This window comes from Homo sapiens, chromosome 12, assembly GCF_000001405.40.
Source record: "Homo sapiens chromosome 12, GRCh38.p14 Primary Assembly".
Lineage (NCBI taxonomy): Eukaryota > Metazoa > Chordata > Mammalia > Primates > Hominidae > Homo > Homo sapiens.
Window position 1 is genome coordinate 51887091 of NC_000012.12, and position 19015 is coordinate 51906105.

Sequence of the window (19015 nt, forward strand, 5' to 3'; positions counted from 1 at the left end):
TTAATTTAAATATTTCATATTTAATTTATCACACTGAAACTAATCTATTAAATTTCATACATCATAATTTCTGGCCAATCCCTCCCTCACTACTGCCTGCCGCACTTTGTGCCCCGACTGCCCACCTGCACTAGACACATAATGTCGGTACTCACAATTTCGTTTGTTTGTTTGTTTTGTTTTTTGAGAAGGAGTTTCGCTCTTGTTGCCTAGGCTGGAGAGCAATGGTGCGATCCCGGCTTACTGCAACCTCTGCCTCCCGGGTTCAAGTGATTCTCCTGCCTCAGCCTCCTGAGTAGCTGGGATTACAGGCGCCCACCACCAAGCCCAGCTAATTTTTGTATTTTTAGTAGAGACAGGGTTTTGCCATGTTAGCCAGGCTGTTCTTGAACTCCTGACCTCAGATAATCCACCCGTCTTGGAATCTCAAAGTGCTGGGATTACAGGCGTGAGCCACCCCGCCTGGCCACAATTTTTTTTTAAAAGGAGGTCTCCCTCTGTTGCCCAGGCTAGAGTTCAGTGGCGCGACATCGGTTCATTGCAGCCTCGACCTCCCGGGCTCAAGCGATCCTCCCACCTCAGCCTCCTGAGTCGCTGGGATAACAGACGTGAGCCACCGGGCCCAGCTCTATACTCATAATTTGACAATTATGTTTTTATTTCCCCAGAACCTCAAAAAATAAGTTCAGGTGACCCCCCTGGAGACCCCACCCCAGGGTCATTCTGAGAGTACCAACCCTATTTAATGAGATACCTGCATTCACTCACCCCCTCTCCCGCAACCACCCCTTCAGCAAGTCGCGCTCCACCCAATTAGGAGGGGCTTTAGGCTGGGCCTAAAAAGTTGGGCCAAGACCCCACGAGGCAGCATCTCCGCCGGCGTCCCCAAGGCTGAGAGTGGGCGCGTCCGTCAGGAGGAGTCGTCTTTGTGAGCCCGCCCCGGCGGGGAGGAGCTGCCCGGCTCAGGCCCCGCCCACCCGGAGGATCTTGGGGCTGGTCTGAGTCCGCTCCTGAGACGTGACCACCCGCCCCGCATGGGGCCCCAGTCCCAGCTGCTTGATCCGGCTCAGCCCCGAGGTGTTTGCAGCAGCTCTTTATGAAAGTCCAGCCATCTGTTACCTGCGTTGCTTCCTGGGGAGGGATAGTCCACCTGGAGGCATTCGGAGACCCAGTGATTGTGCTCCGCGGAGCCTGGGCTGTGCCCCGCGTTGACTGCCTCATAGATACCCTACGAACCCCAAGTAAGAAAAAACGACGACCCTCTCTCCGTGAGTCTCACTGGGGTGCTGACCTAGAGTGAACCCTGCTTGCTTAGGGCTCCTGACCCAGCGCTTGTCCTTTCTCAGGGTGGATGGGGCGAGACCCCTGCTGGGATAAATGTTTTCCCTGGGGCAAGGGCTGTGCACTTCGCAGCTGCTGGGTCCCCTCCCTAGGATCCAGGGAGACACTCACTACTCCTCTCCATTCTGTGTTTTAGATGCCAGCTGCATGAGAAAAGGGACTCACCTTCTGGTTCCCTGCCTGGAAGAGGAAGAGCTGGCATTGCACAGGAGACGGCTGGACATGTCTGAGGCACTGCCCTGCCCGGGCAAGGAGACCCCCACCCCAGGCTGCAGGCTGGGGGCCCTGTATTGGGCCTGTGTCCACAATGATCCCACCCAGCTCCAAGCCATACTGGATGGTGGGGTCTCCCCAGAGGAGGCCACCCAGGTGGACAGCAATGGGAGGGTGAGATGTCCTGGCTTCCCAGAACAGCTGGGGGCATCTTTGCATCCCCACCACACCGTCCTGGCCTGGCTCCCTGAGAGGGGTTCAGGGGCAATACCTCCTGCAGTCCTAAGGAGGAAGGGAATGGTTAAGGGCGGGTCTTCACGGGGTTTGGGGCAGGCTCTGGGACAGATATGGGTTTAGAGGGTGCAAGGGGCCCTGGAGTGGCCCAGGGGGAAAGCAGGGGATCTGAGCTGCCCCTCCCTCAGACAGGCCTCATGGTCGCATGCTACCACGGCTTCCAGAGTGTTGTGGCCCTGCTCAGCCACTGTCCTTTCCTTGATGTGAACCAGCAGGACAAAGGAGGGGACACGGCCCTCATGTTGGCTGCCCAAGCAGGTGTGAGGCTGCTGCACCCCACTTCCGACAGCCCCCTTTTGATGCAGACAGGGCCTCAGCCCCACCCTTGTTGCACGGTGTTCTACACCAGACTCTGTCATGCTGGGTGGAGGGCGGTTTGGGAGCTTCATCACCCCCTTTCCTGGGGACCAAGCTTACCCTTGCTGCCCTGCAGGCCACGTGCCTCTAGTGAGTCTCCTGCTCAACTACTATGTGGGCCTGGACCTGGAACGCCGGGACCAGCGGGGGCTCACGGCGTTAATGAAGGCTGCCATGCGGAACCGCTGTGAGTGCGTGGCCACCCTCCTCATGGCAGGTGTGCGGGGCCTGGACCGGGGTGTGTGGCCTCCAGTCCCTCCTCCAAGCCTTCCCACCAGACACTAAGTCAGCTGTGATTATTTGCAGAAAGGAGAGAGGTGGAGATGGGGGATCAATCTAGTTCACCTTCCTGGAGGGGGGGGCACATGATTTGGGCTTCGTACAATCAACCAAGTCCTGCTATTGATAGCTCAGACATTGTGTGTGGAGGTCCCAGGAAGGAAAGTGTGGGAGGGGAACCTAGCCCAGCTGGAAAATCTAACACGAAAAAAGGCTGGCATCTGGAACCAGCCCCTGTTCCTAGCTGAGTGGCTTCCCTCTTTGGGCCTCACCAGTATTGTGAGGGTGTTAGCTTTCCCTGGGACTACCTCCAACTCTGACAAGCCAGGCTTCCAGGGGATCCAGGGAAGTGTCGTTGAGGCCTGTGGCTCTGTGGGGTCGTTCAGGGGGAGGTGCGGTGAAGTCCACATTGTCCATGGAGTTGTTTGGGGGCCCTTCTTCCCCGCAGTGGGGCTGCCCTCTGCTGGTCACTCTGGGGGACCCCTGCCTCCATTTTTCCCTTCCCCACACACCCCACTGGGTTTGGAGTGAAAAAGGAGTGAATGAAAAAGGAGGGCGCTCTACACCCTTTCTTTTGTCTTAGAGTGACTGCTCCTCCCACAACCCCAAGATGGGAGAGGGAGATGGTGAGAAGAGAAGAACCAGGAGAGGGAACCAGCCGATCATCCCCACCCACCTGCCCCAGAGGGTGCAGCTCAGGCCTCTGCCTGTCCTGGGCAGCCTGCACCGCTGCTCTGCTCAGCTCCTTGGATTGAGGAGATCCCTATTCTGCCCTAGGTGGAGCCCCACAATAGGTCTCTCTGAAGTCTTTTCCCCTCTCTGGACCTAAGTGTCTTAATCTCTCTTAAACAGGAGGTTGCAACACTGGCCTCCCTGATTCCACCTTCAACAGGATGGGACTCTATGGCTTCGAATGTAACCCACATCAGTCTTGCTCCTAAAGAATCTGCCCTTCCACAAATCACCAACCCCTATCCCGCCCCATGTCACCCCCTGTGCTCCTTCCCAGGTGCTGACCTGACAGCAGTGGACCCTGTTCGGGGCAAGACGGCCCTGGAATGGGCAGTGCTGACCGACAGCTTCGACACCGTGTGGAGGATTCGGCAGCTGCTGAGGCGGCCCCAAGTGGAGCAGCTTAGCCAGCACTACAAGCCCGAGTGGCCGGCCTTGTCCGGGCTCGTGGCCCAGGCCCAGGCCCAGGCCCAGGTTGCCCCTTCACTCCTAGAACGGCTGCAGGCTACCTTGAGCCTCCCCTTTGCCCCGTCTCCTCAGGAGGGGGGTGTTCTGGACCACCTTGTGACTGCCACAACCAGCCTGGCCAGTCCCTTCGTCACCACTGCCTGCCACACTCTGTGCCCTGACCATCCACCTTCGCTGGGCACCCGAAGCAAGTCCGTGCCAGAGCTGTTAGGTACTGCCCCGCCCCCTCCCCTGGTTCCCCAGTCCCCGCCAGGGAGTCCCCAGAGGTCCCCGTGGGTCTTCGTCCCCTACCAGAGCCCTCAGGGCATATTGAGCAAGTGCCTTCAGTGGCTACAACCCAGGGATAGCACCAGCCCCAGGCCCCAAGTCCCCAAGATCCTCCTCTCCAAGGCATCCTCATCCTCCCACCAGTGCCAGCCGAAGCCCAGTCCTTCAGGACACCAAAGTCTGGCCCTTCCTCTCTGGCGATACCAGGAGCTCAGGATAGAGAAGAGGAAACAGGAGGAGGAGGCCAGAATGGCACAGAAGTAGGGGAAGATGGGATAGGACAGGCTGGGAACAGGTAATCAGGCCCCTCCCAGGGCTTCTTTCCCCTCTGGAGTGCCTCCGGCCTCCCCATCCACCTCTGCCTAAGTAAATCTGCTCTCAACCTATATATATACAAGGTCATTCATTCTAGCATTGTTTGCAAGAGTGAAAGAGTGGAAACACCCGAAGTGTCCATCAGTAAGGGACAGGCTAGATTGATTACGGATGTAATTGCTGTCCATCCATACAGAGCATACTCTACAGTGTATTCTAAAATAAGACTAAGGAAGCTGTTTATATTCTGATATGAAACTACCATCAAGATGTATAAAGTAAAAATAACTAAGGAGTGGAACAGTGTATATGGCATATTATTATTTGTCGAAGTAAAATTTTCACGAAGATAAACATGACTAAGACAAATATATAGCGAGTACTAAGATTTATTTAACTACTTAATGAGTGAACCAGCAGGATAGATCAAAAAAAAAAAAAAGAAAAGAAAAGCCATTATTGACAATCAGTGAAAAAATGAATGCTAGAATAAGATTGCAAAGTTAGACACAAAAAAGTTAATTGACACCTGGCAATAAAGCCATAACCATTTTTATTTTTTTCTACTAGACCAAAATAATTTGCCACTTATCAATCTTTAACAGGTTAATCTGTCTTTTTAGAGAGCCTGGGTCCTTATCAATAGTAAATATTAATAGCATGTCAAACAAAGTTAACTTCCCCTAGATGACCCATAGGTGGGGTTATTAGCCAATGATCTAAAATATATTTGAAAGGGCACTAACTTTATTTTTTGGCCTTATTTACAAGTTTTGGATATTTTTCTCAAACTTTTGTTGTGTAAATATATTTGCTTGTATGTTTATAATAATGATAGCAACTACTTAGAAGGTGCTTACTATTTATAGTAACACATTTAACCCTTCCAGTAATCCTGAGGATTTTATCTTTGAGGATATGAGGCACAGAGAAGCTAAGGAATTGCCTAGGTCCCACAGCTAGACACTGGCAGGGCTCAAGATTGAGATCTAGCCATCCAGTGTGGCCTCCAGGCTTTAACGCTAACCCCCAATGCGGTACTGGAGCATCCCTGGGAAGAACACAGTAGTGTTCTCCAGAAAAGGACTGAACAGATTTATTCAGATTTCCTTAATTTTTTTTTCTTTTTCTTTTTCTTTTTTTTTTTTTTTTTTGAGACAGAGTCTCCCTCTGTTGCCCAGGCTGGAGTGCAGTGGTTTGATCTCGGCTCACTGCAACCTCCACCTTCTGGATTCAAGTGATTCTCCTGCCTCAGCCTCCCGTGTAGCTGGGATTACAGGCGTGCGCCACCATGCCCAGCTAATTTGTGTGTTTTCAGTAGAGACAGGGTTTCACTGTGTTGATCAGGCTGGCCTCAAACTCCTGACCTCAAGTGATCTGCCTGCCTTGACCTCCCAAAATGCTAGGATTACAGGGGTGAGCCACTGCACCCAGCCCTAATGTCCCTTTTCTATCCCAGGATTCTATCCAGGATCCCCTGTTACATTTCATCATCACATCCCCCAGAATCCTCTTGACTGTGACAGTTTCTCCGATTTCCCTTGTTCCTCATGATCTTGACAGTTTTGAGTCATATTGGTCATGTATTTTGTGCATGTCTCTCAATTGAGGTTTGTCTGATTTTTTTTGTTGTTGTTGGTGGTGTGTGTGTGTGTATTTTTGATAGAGACGCAGTTTTACCATGTTGCCCAGGCTAGTCTTGATCTCCTGAGCTCAAGTGATCCGCCTGCCTTGGCCTCTCAAAGTGCTGGGATTACAGGTGTGAGCCACCATGCCTGGCCTGTCTGATGTTTTTCTTATAATTAATGTAAGACTGGGTCTTTGGGTTTTCAGAAGGGAAAATTCCACAGAGGTAAAGTTTTTCTCACATCATGTCAAGGGAGGCATATAGTATGAACATGACTTATCACTTGATATAGACCTCAATCACCTGGCTCAGGTAGTTTGTCAGTTTTCTCCACTGTAAAGTTTCTCTTTCTTCCCCCTCTCTGCACTGTCATCTTTGGAAGGAAGTCTTATACAAGGTCCACACTAACAGAGTGGGGAGTTATACACCATCTCCTTGAGGGTAGAGTATCTAGATAAATTATTTGGAATTCCGCACAGGGCGTTTTGACTTTCTAATTATGTCTACCAAATTTTGAAACATTAAAAAATAAATCCACTCTTTGAATAGGGAAAATACACCCCCCCAAACACACACACACACTGAGAAGAAAATGACTAATAGGGTCAGATAATATATGATTTCTCCCAGAAGAGCTCTGAAGGCCACTATGGTGGACTGGAAGGGACTCAAGGGTAACTTGATCCTGAATAAGGCACTTAAATTTCTCTTGCCTCGGCTTTCACATCTGTTAAATGGAGAAAATGGGGGCTATTGGAAGGATCCACTAGCTAGTATGGGTGAAAGAGTTCCATAAACTGTAAAGTACTATCAAGAGGTGACGTATTAAGGAAGAGCCCCGGGGAAGTGAGTTGGATTAAACAGCTTCAGGGCCTCCAGGATGGAGCTAGATTTCTTTCCTCCCCACCCACTGCTGAAATCATGGCATAGGAAGCCAGCCTTGGCATTGGACATCATAGACAGAGAAAGAAGCTACATCGATAGTCGTGGATCAGCATCGTGGCAAAATGCCTCCCTGGGAGTTGGCCTGTGACCTTGGACAAGTTACTTACACTTTCTGAGCCTCACAGGTGTCACTTGCAGAATAGAGGTAAGAGTAACATGTTCACCATAGGGCTGTTATAAGAATTGAATGAGATGACGCAGCACTTGGCATCATACCTGGCTCTATCTATCTGTATCTATATCTATATATTTTGAGATATGGTCTTGTTCTGCTGCTCATGCTGGAGTGCAAGGTTGTGATCATAGCTCACTGCAGGCTTGAACTCCTGAACTCAAAGGATCCTCCCGCCTCAGCCTCCCAAGTAGCTGGGACTATAAGTGTGTGCCACCACACCTGGAAAACTTTTTAATTTTTTTGTGGAGATAAAGTCTCACTATGTTGCCAAGGCTGGTCTCAAACTCCTGGGCTCAAGCGATCCTCCTACCTCAGCCTCCCAAAGTGCTGGGATTATAGTTGTGAGCCACCACGCCTGGCCCATTTTCTTTTCTTTCTTTCTTTCTTTTCTTTTTTTTTTTGAGATGGAGTCTCATCTCTGTCACCCAGGCTAGAGTGCAGTGGCTTGATCTCAGCTCACTGCAACCTCCGCCTCCCAGGTAGCTGGGATTACAGGCATGCGCCATCACACCTGGCTAATTTTTGTATTTGTAGTAGAGATGGGGTTTCACCATGTTGGCCAGGCTGGTCTTGAACTCCTGACCTTAGGTGATCCACCCGCCTCAGCCTCCCAAAGTGCTGGGATTACAGGCATGAGCCACCGTGCCCGGCCTCTGTTTTCTTATTTAATCTGCACAGCCTTCCTATTTTGCAGTTGAGGAAATTGAGGCTATAAAGTTTAGGCAACTTGCCCAATGTCACCAATTGGTAAGTGGCAAAGCAGTGCTTGGAGCTCAAGTCTGTGAGATTCCAAAGCCTGCGCTCATTCCACTGTAGCACATGGCATCTGCTTGCAGCCAGGGAGGATTAAACTTTGAGCCTCTGATTCTTTGAGCCTCTCCCTCCACCTCCAACCTGCTCAGGGACGACTACTGTACCTTCAAGGCCAGGGAACTAGCCCTCTGTGGTTCCCTAGGCCCCTCTGTCCTGGCCGTGGTGGATCTGGTGGAACCCACATTAATGCCTGGGTTCCAGGTTGGAGCATGTTTTCCAGCAGAGGGAGCCTCTCTGCCTTGGAGAAGACCCACCCTTCCAATCCCTGGCCATCTCCAGGACAGCTAGAGTCCCCGGACTTCACTCTAGCAACTCCCCCTCCCATGCCAAGCCATTTCTCTCTAATCCTCTAATAGGTCCTGACAATAGCCTTCCCTCCCCCTCCCAGAACCCTTTCAGGCTGATCAGAGAGAGAGAAGCCTTGAGGCCTGGAGTTGCTGTGGCCTGTGCCTCCCAAAGTCAACCTCTCCTCTAATATCCCTGCCTCCCCCTCCCTCATCACAGCTCCTGAGGCTTCCGAACTCAGTCCCTGTCAGCAGAGGCCAAGAAATCCATAGTGAGGCCCCTGGCTGTGCAGAATGCAGGCACGGCAAAGCCTTTGGAGTCAGACAGACCTGGGTTTCAGTCCTGGCTCTGCCTCTCCCAACCTGAGTCACCTCATGTGTAACATCAAATGATGAGACCACAATTGCTGCCACCCAGGGCTGTCTGTAGCCCAAGCAGTGAGGGGTCTGAGAGGCATTGGGCACCGCCTGGCACATGGTCAGGGCATGGTGGGTCAACAGCAGCCTGGGATTGTACCTGAGCAGCAGTGAGTAAGGGAACAGCCCAGGGTGCAGCTACATGGAGGAGGCTGGCGGATGTGCCCTTGAGGCCCCATGGCCTCCCCTGTGATTCTAGGAAACTATTCTGGTGGCCCAGGAAATGAAAACACACATCTCTGCATCCCCCACCCTAGGCCCACTCCCAGCCCACCTCATCACCACAGTGCTGGCGGCTGGAGGAGCTGCTCCCGGAGTGTACACATGTACACCCTCCACCTGGAAGGCAGAGGGCTCCTATACCTGGGACTGCAGAGTTGGCTGTCCCGACACACACTGGGATGTCAGCCAGGCTTGTGTGGACTCCTGGGGAAGCCTACTCACTCCCGTGTGGGCAGGGACCATGTCTGTGTCCCTAGCCTCTGGCTCAGCATGGAACCCATCCCAGGCTCAAAACATGTGCATAGGGAAGAACCTTGTTCAGGCTCCTCTAAGGTCCTGGATGCTCAGGGGGTCCTTTATCATCTCCCTCCTTCTCTCAGGGGCCGCTCTTATCCATGGACTGGCAGTGGGCATTCCAGGGCATGCCCCAGGAAACCCCTTGCCAGGAAAAGGCAAGGGAGTACATATATGTAGGGAGGACAGAGGACAGATGGGGACTCACTGGTCTGTGTCCTCTTTTCTCCATACTGGGGAACCTGGACAGGATGCCCCCTCTCCAGCAGTCACACTTTCCAAGTGGTTGGGACCACACATGCGTCTTCTACCACATCAACCACCAGGCCAGCCACACCCTTACCCTGGCCCGTCTGGACCTTCCACCTATCAGATCTCAGCTGGTCACACCGAGAGAGACCTAATTGGCCACAGCTCACACAGAAGTTTACATCTGCTCTCCTCTCTCCTTTCCCACAGGGAGACCTTTTCATCCCTAAGGAAAATACCCAGATCTGAAGGAGAGGGCTTGAGGACAAGGTTTAGGCCCTCCTCAACACCCCAGCTCCTGCCAACTTCTACTCCAGATGGTTAGAGAGACACATGCAGACAAGCCATCAGCAACGGGCTTAGAGGCACAGACATCTACACAGGCCCATTGGCCCACAAACACCCAGTTGCACGTAACGAGGCTTCACATGCAGGCACACATATACACACTTGTTCACACAGGTGCACAAACACTCACTGACCAGGAAAAAATAAAAACAGGGCCCCCTTTTCCCTAGATTCCTGACCCATGCCCTGCTCTGCCCCCTCTGCCCCACAACACCGCATCCATTGCCCCAGCCATCCAGCTCCAAAAATTGCCTGTGTGACTGGTTGGAGTTTCATGGTCCATCTATCTGAGCAGGAATTGGGGTGCTAGGGGGGCCCAGGCCCTGCCTTTAAGTCCTCCCTTCAGAGCTTGGTGTCCTCCTTAACTGTGAAAGGCCATGATCCCTCCAAGGGAGAGGAGAGCAGTGAGCAGGTCTAAACCTCACTCCTTATTTGTTCCTGTTTACTCCAGACCCGCCTTGGATACCCCGACCCCTATTTCCTACATCCATGCCAGTGCCCTGCTTTTGGGGGACAAGGGGCAGAAGCCTGTGGATTTGGGGGTCCTGGAAATAAGCATTCACCTGAGGGCCCTCAGTCCCAGGCCTTCTGGTCCTGAGAAGGGCAGAGCCTGGGCACGGATGCTGGAGGGGTGGGAACGGGGCAGAATTTATGGCATTTCCCCTCCAGCTGGAAACAAAGGCAGATTCCTGTGTCCAGCATGAGCAATCCGGTCCCACCCACCAGAGTGGCTGGAGCTGAAGGAAATCCCGCTGGCTCTGACCTCTCCCAGACGTGCAGCCCCACTTCCAAACATTCTCTCTCAGCCGGGGCCATTACCTACTCTCAGATACTGGGGATCTTTTCTGGTCCACACTGGGGATGGTCACCTTAATGCCTCAAACTCTCTCCCCATGCAGTAAGGGTTCTCTCAACACCACCCAAGAGCCTGCCAGGCTCCCACCCCCTTGCCAGTCAACTCTGCCCTTCCTCATCCAAGCAAACTCAGACCTTGCTGTTCATTGGAATGGGGAAGTCTTGATGTCTCCAGGACCTCCTATGCCATCTGGAATGCTCAGCACAGCCGTCAGAGCATCTCCACCTTCAGGAGTTCCAGCTGAACACCCCCCATAACAAGATGGTTCATCTTAGATGATTGACATGTCTTCCCTCATTGCAGCTCAGGGAAGAGCAGGGTGCCGCTATCCTCAATCAGTACAGTCAAGAGATACTTTCTAATACCATAAATAGGAACTAGAGGTTGGGCTATATTACTTAAATTTATACAATAATAATATAATGATCAATAATTAGAGGGAGAGGAGGCCAAGGTGGGAGGATCACTTAAGCCCAGGAGTTCAAGACCAGCTGGGCAACATAGCAAGACCTCATCTCCACAGATAATTAAAAAATTAGCTGGGCATGGTGGTGCATGCCTGTAGTCCCAGCTACTTGGGAGGCTGAGGCGGGAGGATCACTTGAGCCAGGGAGTTTGAGGCTGCAGTGAGCCATGACCTCGCCACTGCACTCCATCCTGGGTGACAGAGTACAGAGTGAGACCCTGTCTCAAAAAAAAAAAAAAAAAATTAGAGAGAGACAACCTAAATGGCCTAAATCCTGAACCTTTTAAATCTAGAGATAGCAGTGTACACATATTACTGAGGGTTTGTTGAAGTAAATGTCAGAAAAACTAGTATTTGGAACTTTGAGACAAGGGTTGGCCCTAGCAATGCGGTCTGGGGATGGGTACGGTTGCTTCTCATTATAAACTCTTCTGCAAAGTTGTATTTATTTTACCCTGAACTTATTTGGGATTCTTTTAATTTTTTTTCAAAACAGCTGCCTCCTCCTTTGCAGCCTCTTCAGGGGCTATATTCATCTGTATCATAACCTCTCATGCAGCCAGTAGTAGAAAAGGCAATATGTATTATTCGTCTTTGAGCAGACAAGGAAATAGAGGCTCCTCCACTGTGTATGGCCAAGCCTCAGGTCTCCTGACTCCTGGTTCAGTGCCCTTCCTCCTATCCCACACCTCTGCCCCTCCTTCCACACAAACCAGTGTCCCTGTGGGTTTTACAGCCGGCTGGTTAAGGGCTTTTGCACATAGTTTGCTTAGTTTGAGAATGTGGTAGAGAAGGAATTATCAACCCTTTCCTACAGGAATGAAAACTGAGGCTCACACACAGGTTTTCCAACTCCAAGTCTGAGCTCTTTCCACTAACTCTCCTCTTCCTCAGTGCTGAGGCCAATTTGGAGGGTGACAGTTACAGCCTATGGGAAGCCTGCAGGGAGGGGCAATGCACAGCTCACTGCACTGCCAGGCAGGCAGCGCTAAAACAGCTTCTCCACAGAGACCAGGCTTCAGGCCCACCCACCTCCATGCCATCATGTGGACACCGTCCAACCTTAAGACTCTGCTGCCCTGACGTGGCATCCCTTCCTCAAGAGGTTCCATCCTGAGAAGAGTCATCCTGAGGGCGGGGGGTGGGCGGGGAGTGGACGAGACCATCTGGAGGAGATCTGGAAGAGCTGGAGAGGAAGAGGAAGATGACTTGGCGGCTCAAAGTCTGGGAATCTACCAGCCTCTTCCTGAGTCTCGGGGCAGAACTCTGGCTACCCCGCATCCTCCCCAAACCTAGGCACCAGCCAAACTGTCTTTTTTACCTGAGTTCTAGTGACCAGTTCTGGGACCGGGTAGTATTCCCGAATCTTAGAGCCAAAAGAGAGCATATAAGGCAGGCAAGGACCTTCAGGATTGTCTGGTCGAAACCTCTCAGTGTACAGAGGAGGAAACTGAGGCCCAGATAAATGATTCGGGCCTGGAACCCAGGCCCCACGTCCCACAGTTTATGCTCTTTCAGGACACCATCATGCTTTCTGCCCTGAGCTAAAGAAGACCTAGAGAAGTCATTTCTTCTCCCTTTTCCTCCAGGCAAAACCCAGACTCCATTTGCCCACAAAACTGGTCACTCTCCTATGTGTTGAAGAGATGGATAAATGGAATTTGCAGACATCTGTCCCACTTCTCCCCTAATGGAGACCCACAGTTCTTCCTCCTTGGGTACCCTGTTCTACTGTTTTCATGTTTCTTGTGTTTAAAAAATCCCTAGGTTGGCTAGGAGCAGTGGCTCACGCCTGTAATCCCAGCACTTTGGGAGGCCGAGGTGGGAGGATCACTTGAGGTCAGGAGTTCGAGACCAACTCCTGACCATGGCCAACATGGTGAAACCCCGTCTCTACTAAAAACACACAAAAAATTAGCCGGGCCGTGGTGGCTCATGCCTGTAATCCCAGCTACTTAGGAGGCTGAGGCAGGAAAATTGCTTGAACTTGGGAGGCGGAGGTTGCATTGAGCTGTGATAGTGCCACTGCACTCCAGCCTCCAGCCTGGGCAACAGAGCAAGACTCTGTCTCAAAAAACAAAAAACAAACAAAACAAACAAAGAAACAAAAAATCCCTAGGTTGTCTCATATAATTCTCCCACCCTGCAATTTCAATGGAGCAAAGCCCATCTCATGCCCTGCTAGTTTTCCTCCCTTGCTGTTTCTCCTTACCCTCCCTGGTGCAGAACCAGCTGTATAATTTGTGAGGCCCATTGCTGAATGAAAATGCTGAGCCCTTTGTTCAAACATCATTAAGAATATTAAGAGGCGGCTCAGCACGCAGGCGCAGGGCCAGGCGCCTCCCGCGGCCAGGGGCGGGCAGCCGCAGAGCAGCACGCTGGGCCTTGGCTCCGGTAGCAGCAAGTTCGAACCCCGCTCCTGCTCCGCTTCGGTTCTCGCTCCTCGGCCCTTGGGCCTCCAAACACCATTTCCTGGCAGTTCGTTGCGCATTGCGCTCTCCCCGCCACCAGGATGCCAGTGACCAAGAAGGATCTGGCGGAGGACGCGCCGTGGAAGAAGATCCAGCAGAAGACGTTCACAAGCTGGTGCCACGAGCACCTCAAGTGCGTGAACAAACGGCATTGGCGCTGACCTGAGCGACGGGCTGCCGCCCATTGCGCTGCTCGAGGTGCTCAGCCAGAAGCACATGTACCTCAAGTACCATCAGCGGCCCACCTTTCGCCAGATGCAGCTCAAGAACGTGTCCGTGGCGCTCGAGTTCCTGGACCGTGACAGCATCAAGCTCGTGTCCATCGATAGCAAAGCCACTGTGGATGGGAACCTGAAGCTCATCTTGGGTCTGGTGTGGACGCTGATCCTCCGCTACTCCATCTCCACGCCCGTGTGTGAGGATGAAGGGGATGATGATGCCAAGAAGCAGATGCGGAAGCAGAGGCTGCTGGGGTGGATTCAGAACAAGGTCCCCTACTTGCCCATCACCAACTTTAGCCAGAACTGGCAAGACAGCAAAGCCCTGAGAGCCCTGGTAGACAGCTGTGCTCCAGGTCTGTGCCCAGACTGGGAATCCTGGCACCCACAGAAACCTGTGGATAACGCAGGAGAAGCCATGCAGCAGGCAGATGATGGCTGGGTGTCCCACAGGTCACCACTCCTGAAGAAACCATTCACCCGGATGTGGACGAACACTCAGTTATGACTTACCTATCCCAGTTCCCCAAAGCCAAGCTCAAGCCAGGGGCGCCTCTCAAACCCAAACTCAACCCGAAGAAAGCCAGGGCCTATGGCAGAGAATTGGAGCCAAAGAAGCCGACGACCTGAAAATGCCAGTGGGCACAAACATAGAAAGTGCCAACAAAAGCTGCCCTGTCCAGCCAGAAGACCAGGAAAGAGCAGCCCAGTGAGGCAGAAAACTTTTAAACAATCACTGCTCTGCTCCAGCTCCACACCACAGAAAAAACTGTGCAGTCCCGCACTTACACCCGCAAAGGTGAAAGGGGAGCCTAGACTTTGACCACAGTCTAGCAATAAGGAAGCCACTCCCCGGGAAGGTGTCAGTAGAGGCCGTGGAGGAGCAGTAATGAGGCACTCCTACTCCCTCCAGCGGAACTCCCACCCCCACATGCCAGTAATGAGCATCAGTGGAGGTTGAATGGAGAACCTAGACTTCCTCCCCCACTGTTAGTAACGAGATGTGTACCCTCTCCTCCCCTGCCAGAATGGTATCATAAAACGCCAGCTACAACAGAACATTTACAGAAGACTCAGAGTTTCATTACATGATACCTCAAATATCCAGTTTCAAAAAAAAAAAAATCACTTGTCATACCAAGAACCAGAAAGATCTCAAACTGAATGAAAAACACAGTTGATGCCAACGCGGAGATGATAGAGATGTTAGAATCGTATGACAAAAATTTTAAAGTGGCCGTTAAAAAAAGGCTTCAGTAGCCGGGCATGGTGGCTCATGCTTGTGATCCCAGCACTTTGGGAGGTTGAGGCGAGTGGATCGCCTGAGGTCAGGAGTTTGAGGCCAGCCTGGCCGACATGATGAAACCCCATCTCTAGTAAAAAATGCAAAAAATTAGCCGGGCGTAGCTGGGTGCCTGTAATCCTGGCTGCTTGGGAGGCTGAGGCAGAAGAATTGCTTGAACCCAGGAGGCGGAGGTTGCAGTGGGCCAAGGTCAGGCCATTGCACTCCAGCCTGGGCAGGAAGAGTGAGACTCCATCTCAAAAAAAAAAAAAAAAAAAAAAAGGCTTCAGTAAGTAATTAAGAACAATCATGAAACAAATGAAAAAAATCAAAAATCTCAACAAAGAAATAGAATGTCCCAGCAAAATAATAATAAAAATTTAGGAGATACAAAGAACCAAATGGACATTTTAGAACTGGAAATTGCAGTAACTGAAATAAAAACTCATTGGATGAGCGCAATAACAGGGTGGAAGGACAGAGAAAATAATCCTTGAACTGGACAAAAACTGGTTGTTTTGTTTTGAGATGCAGTTTTGCTCTTGTCGCCCAGGCTGGAGTGCAATGGCGTGATCTCGGCTCACCGCGGCCTCTGCCTCTTGGATTGGGGTGATTCTCCTGCCTCAGCCTCCCTAGTAGCTGGGCTTGCCGGTGCCCGCCACCACGCCCGGCTATTTTTTGTGTTTTTGGTAGAGATGGGGTTTCACCCTGTTGGCCTGGCTGGTCTCAGGCTCCTGACCTTAGGTGATCTGCCCACCTCAGCCTCCCAAAGTGCTGGGATTACAGGCATGAGCCACCGCGCCCGGCTTCTATAAGTTTTTTTCTATGTTTAAAACTTTTAATTTCATTTTTGTACTTAATTTTTTTTTTTTATTAAACACACACATTAGCCTAGGCTTACACAGGGTCAGGATCATCATTATCACTGTCTTCCACCTCCACATCCTGTCCCACTGGTAGGTCTTCAGGGGCAGTAATGTGTGGAACTGCTGTCTCCTGTAATAACAATGCCTTCTGGAATACTTCCTGAAGGACTTGCTTGAGGCTGCTTTAAAGTTAACTTTTTTAAAAAATAGAAGATGCACACTCTAAAATATAATAATAAAAAGTATAGGATATTAAATACATAAACCAGTAGCATTGTCATTTATCATCAAGTATTGTTTATTGAACATAGCTGTACATGCTGTATACGTTTCTATGGCTAGCAGCGCAGTGGGTTTGTTTATACCAGCATCAGCACAAACACATGAGTAATGCGATGCGTTACTACGACGTCAGTAGGCAACAGGAATTTTTTGGCTCCATTTATAATCTTATGCGACCATCATTGTATGTGTGGAATATTTTTGACTGAAACTTCATTATGCAGCAAATTACTATATTAGCAAATAAAATTGAGCTATATATAATGAAGAAGTACACATTATAACCAAGTGGGTTTATTCCAGGGATGTAAGGCCTGGTTCACTATTAGAAAATCAGTCAACATAGGCTGGGCACGGTGGCTCACGCCTCTAATCCCAGCACTTTGGGAGGCCGAGGCGGGTGGATCACCTGAGGTCGGGAGTTCAAGACCAGACTGACCAACATGGAGAAACCCCTTCTCTACTAAAAATACAAAATTAGCCAGGTGTGGTGACAGGCACCTGTAATCCTAGCTACTAGGGAGGCTGAGGCAGGAGAATCGCTTGAACCCAGGAGGCAGATATTGCAGTGAGCCGAGATCACGCCATTGTACTCCAGCCTGGGCAACAAGAGCAAAACTCTGTTTCAAAAAAAAAAAAAAAGAAAAAGAAAGAAGAGAAAATCAGTCAACATAATCTACCGTATTAACAGACTAACAAAGAGAAATTACACAATTCGTATCAGTGGATGCAGAAAAGGCATTTGACAAAATTCAATAGCCATCCATGATAAGAATACACACACACACACAAAAGAGGAATGGGGGAACTTTCTCAATCTGATATAGAGTGGCTACTACAAGAAACTTACGGCTAACATTATGATTAATAGATTGAGTGTGTTCTCCTAAGAGAAACAAGGCAAGGATGGCTGTTCTGTTTTGACCACTCTTATTCAACATAATGCTAGAAGTTTTAGCTAGTGCAGTCAGGTAAGAAAAGGAAATAAAAGATATGCATATTGGAAGGTAAGAAATAATACTGTCTCTATTTGCAGATGCAGATGACTGTCGATGTAGAAAATCCCAAAGAATCCATGAGGGGTAGAAAACCCAAATACCTCACCCCCTTGAATAAGTGAGTTCAGCAAGGTCACAGTATACAAGATCAATATGTAAAAATCGATTATATTTCTATATAATTTAATGAACAAATGGACACAAAAATTAAAAATAGCATATCCTGTTTATAATTGCTTTTAAAAAGTATAAGTGTAACAAAACACATAAAGGAGTTAAATGCTGAAAACTACAAGAACACTGATAAATAAAAGAGACCTAAATAAATGGAAAAAAAATATATCATTAAGAATTTTAAGATGGCAATGACAGCGCATTAAACCAAGCATGGGGCCCTGTGCATCTGCACAGGTCACACTCCCATGAAGCCAGCCCCGCACTAGTATCAAGAGTGATGTTTGAGTCTGGGTGGGGTGGCTTATGCCTGTAATCTCAGCACTTTGGGAGGCTGAGTGGGTGGATCAGCTGAGGTCAGGAGTTCGAGACCAGCCTGTACAACATGGTGAAACCCCGTCTCTACTAAAAATACAAACATTAGCCAGGCGTGGAGGCACGCATCTGTAATCCCAGCTACTTGGGAGACTGAGACAGGAGAATCACTTGAACCTGGGAGGCAGACCTGAGATCACGCAACTGCACTCCAGCCTGGGCGACACTGTGAGACTCCATCTCAAAAAAAAAAGAATGATGCTTGAACTTAATACTCATAGCTGGTCCTGAAAGGTGAAGGTGTCCATTGCCCTGCCTTCCTGACAGACTCCATGTCACCCACCTTCCACAGATGAGAATCTGCTTGAGGTTTCACCCCACACAGAATCTCCAGGCCTCTGCTTCCTGCAGTGTTGGGAAATCCTTCTGAGTATCTAAATCTAAATCTTTGTCCTTTGGGCCTGTTTCCTCTTGTTCTGTCCTCACTGAATATGGGGAACAGCTGGTCCCTCTGAGTAATTAATTCTTGTAGACTTGGACACAGTCTGTAATTCCTTTTCCCTTTTCTCATTGGGATGACTCTCCAGGGCTTTCTCCAACTCTGGATCTCCAACTCTGACACCTCCCCCAGGTTCTCTGTGTGCTTTGGAAGGCATGGGGTTCACAAGAGCCCCAAAGAGCACCAGTCAGGGGCCAGAGGGCTCAGTGCTCTGGGGAGATGGGGAAGATTCCAGCACTGATGAACAGACTCCAGCCCCCCCTGGGTCCTCTCTTCCAGCTCCCAAAATGTACTCTATTTTTATCTGTTTCACGAACGCTGGTCCAGATAGTCTTCCATCCCCCACTGACTGTTAGAAGTGACTCTCAGCTTTTGTCCATCTCGAAGTTTCTGTGCTCAGTGTGCCTCTCAGACTAAAGGCTTCCTTTGGGAAGCCCCGACTCTCGCTTCTCAGGACAGAGATCCAGGGGTTGGGGGAGGAAAAGGTTGACCAGAAGCCATAGCGGAGCAGGGAGAGAGAGTGTGAAAGACAGACCCGCGGCCAGGCTCCCAGTTCTCCAGCTCGTAGAGGGCCCAAGTGGCCGCTATAATCTGAAAGAGCAGATATCGTAATCCCATAGTACTTCCTATTGGCTGCAGGACACAGTTCTGTCCTGACACTGAAATTTGGGTGTGTCAGGGTTCTGGGAATTCACAACGCTCACAACTTGTGAAGCAGCTGTGGGGTGGGGGATGGGGAGGGTTTCAGCAGAGGAAGTGAGGTCAGTCAATAATTGATGCCTGTCTGAGCTTTTAGCCATTATCTCCCCCAGCCTCTATTCCTGTCAAAAGGTGGGGCGGGGCAGGAGGAGGGGTCCCTGGCTCATCTTGTAGAATCCCCATATTAGAGTAAGACACCTTAGAGGTCTACTCCTGCTTCTAATACCCACGTCTTTCCAAGTGTCTCTG

At 50.4% G+C, this 19015-nt stretch overlaps 1 protein-coding gene and 1 pseudogene across 8 annotated transcripts; both read left to right on the forward strand.

Moving 5' to 3' along the window:
• Nucleotides 1–1012: 1012 nt before the first annotated feature.
• ANKRD33 (ankyrin repeat domain 33) lies at nt 1013–4637 on the forward strand. Of its 8 annotated transcripts, none has more exons than NM_001304459.2 (6): nt 1013–1241; nt 1478–1728; nt 1981–2106; nt 2282–2422; nt 3337–3399; nt 3494–4637. In NM_001304459.2, the coding sequence occupies exons 3-6, from the start codon at nt 1986–1988 to the stop codon at nt 4213–4215; spliced, it is 1047 nt and encodes a 348-aa protein (NP_001291388.1). In that variant the 5' UTR covers nt 1013–1241; nt 1478–1728; nt 1981–1985; the 3' UTR covers nt 4216–4637. The 8 variants fall into 8 exon arrangements, with proteins under 8 accessions (NP_001291388.1, NP_001123487.1, XP_047284739.1 ...); NM_001130015.2 differs by lacking the exon at nt 3337–3399 and having other exon boundaries at nt 3494–3895; nt 4096–4637; XM_047428783.1 differs by having other exon boundaries at nt 1977–2106; nt 2282–2392; nt 3068–4637.
• Nucleotides 4638–5298: 661 nt separating this feature from the next.
• On the forward strand, nt 5299–14324 carry LOC102724178 (filamin-B-like; annotated as a pseudogene).

Coding starts and splice junctions, on each gene's coding strand:
- ANKRD33 (XM_047428784.1), top strand. CDS start 1,097: ATGAAAGTCCAGCCATCTGTTACCTGCGTTGCTTCCTGGGGAGGGATA. Junction 1,729..1,976: donor AGGTGGACAGCAATGGGAGG/GTGAGATGTCCT, acceptor CCCCTCCCTCAG/ACAGGCCTCATGGTCGCATG. Junction 2,107..2,281: donor CATGTTGGCTGCCCAAGCAG/GTGTGAGGCTGC, acceptor GCTGCCCTGCAG/GCCACGTGCCTCTAGTGAGT.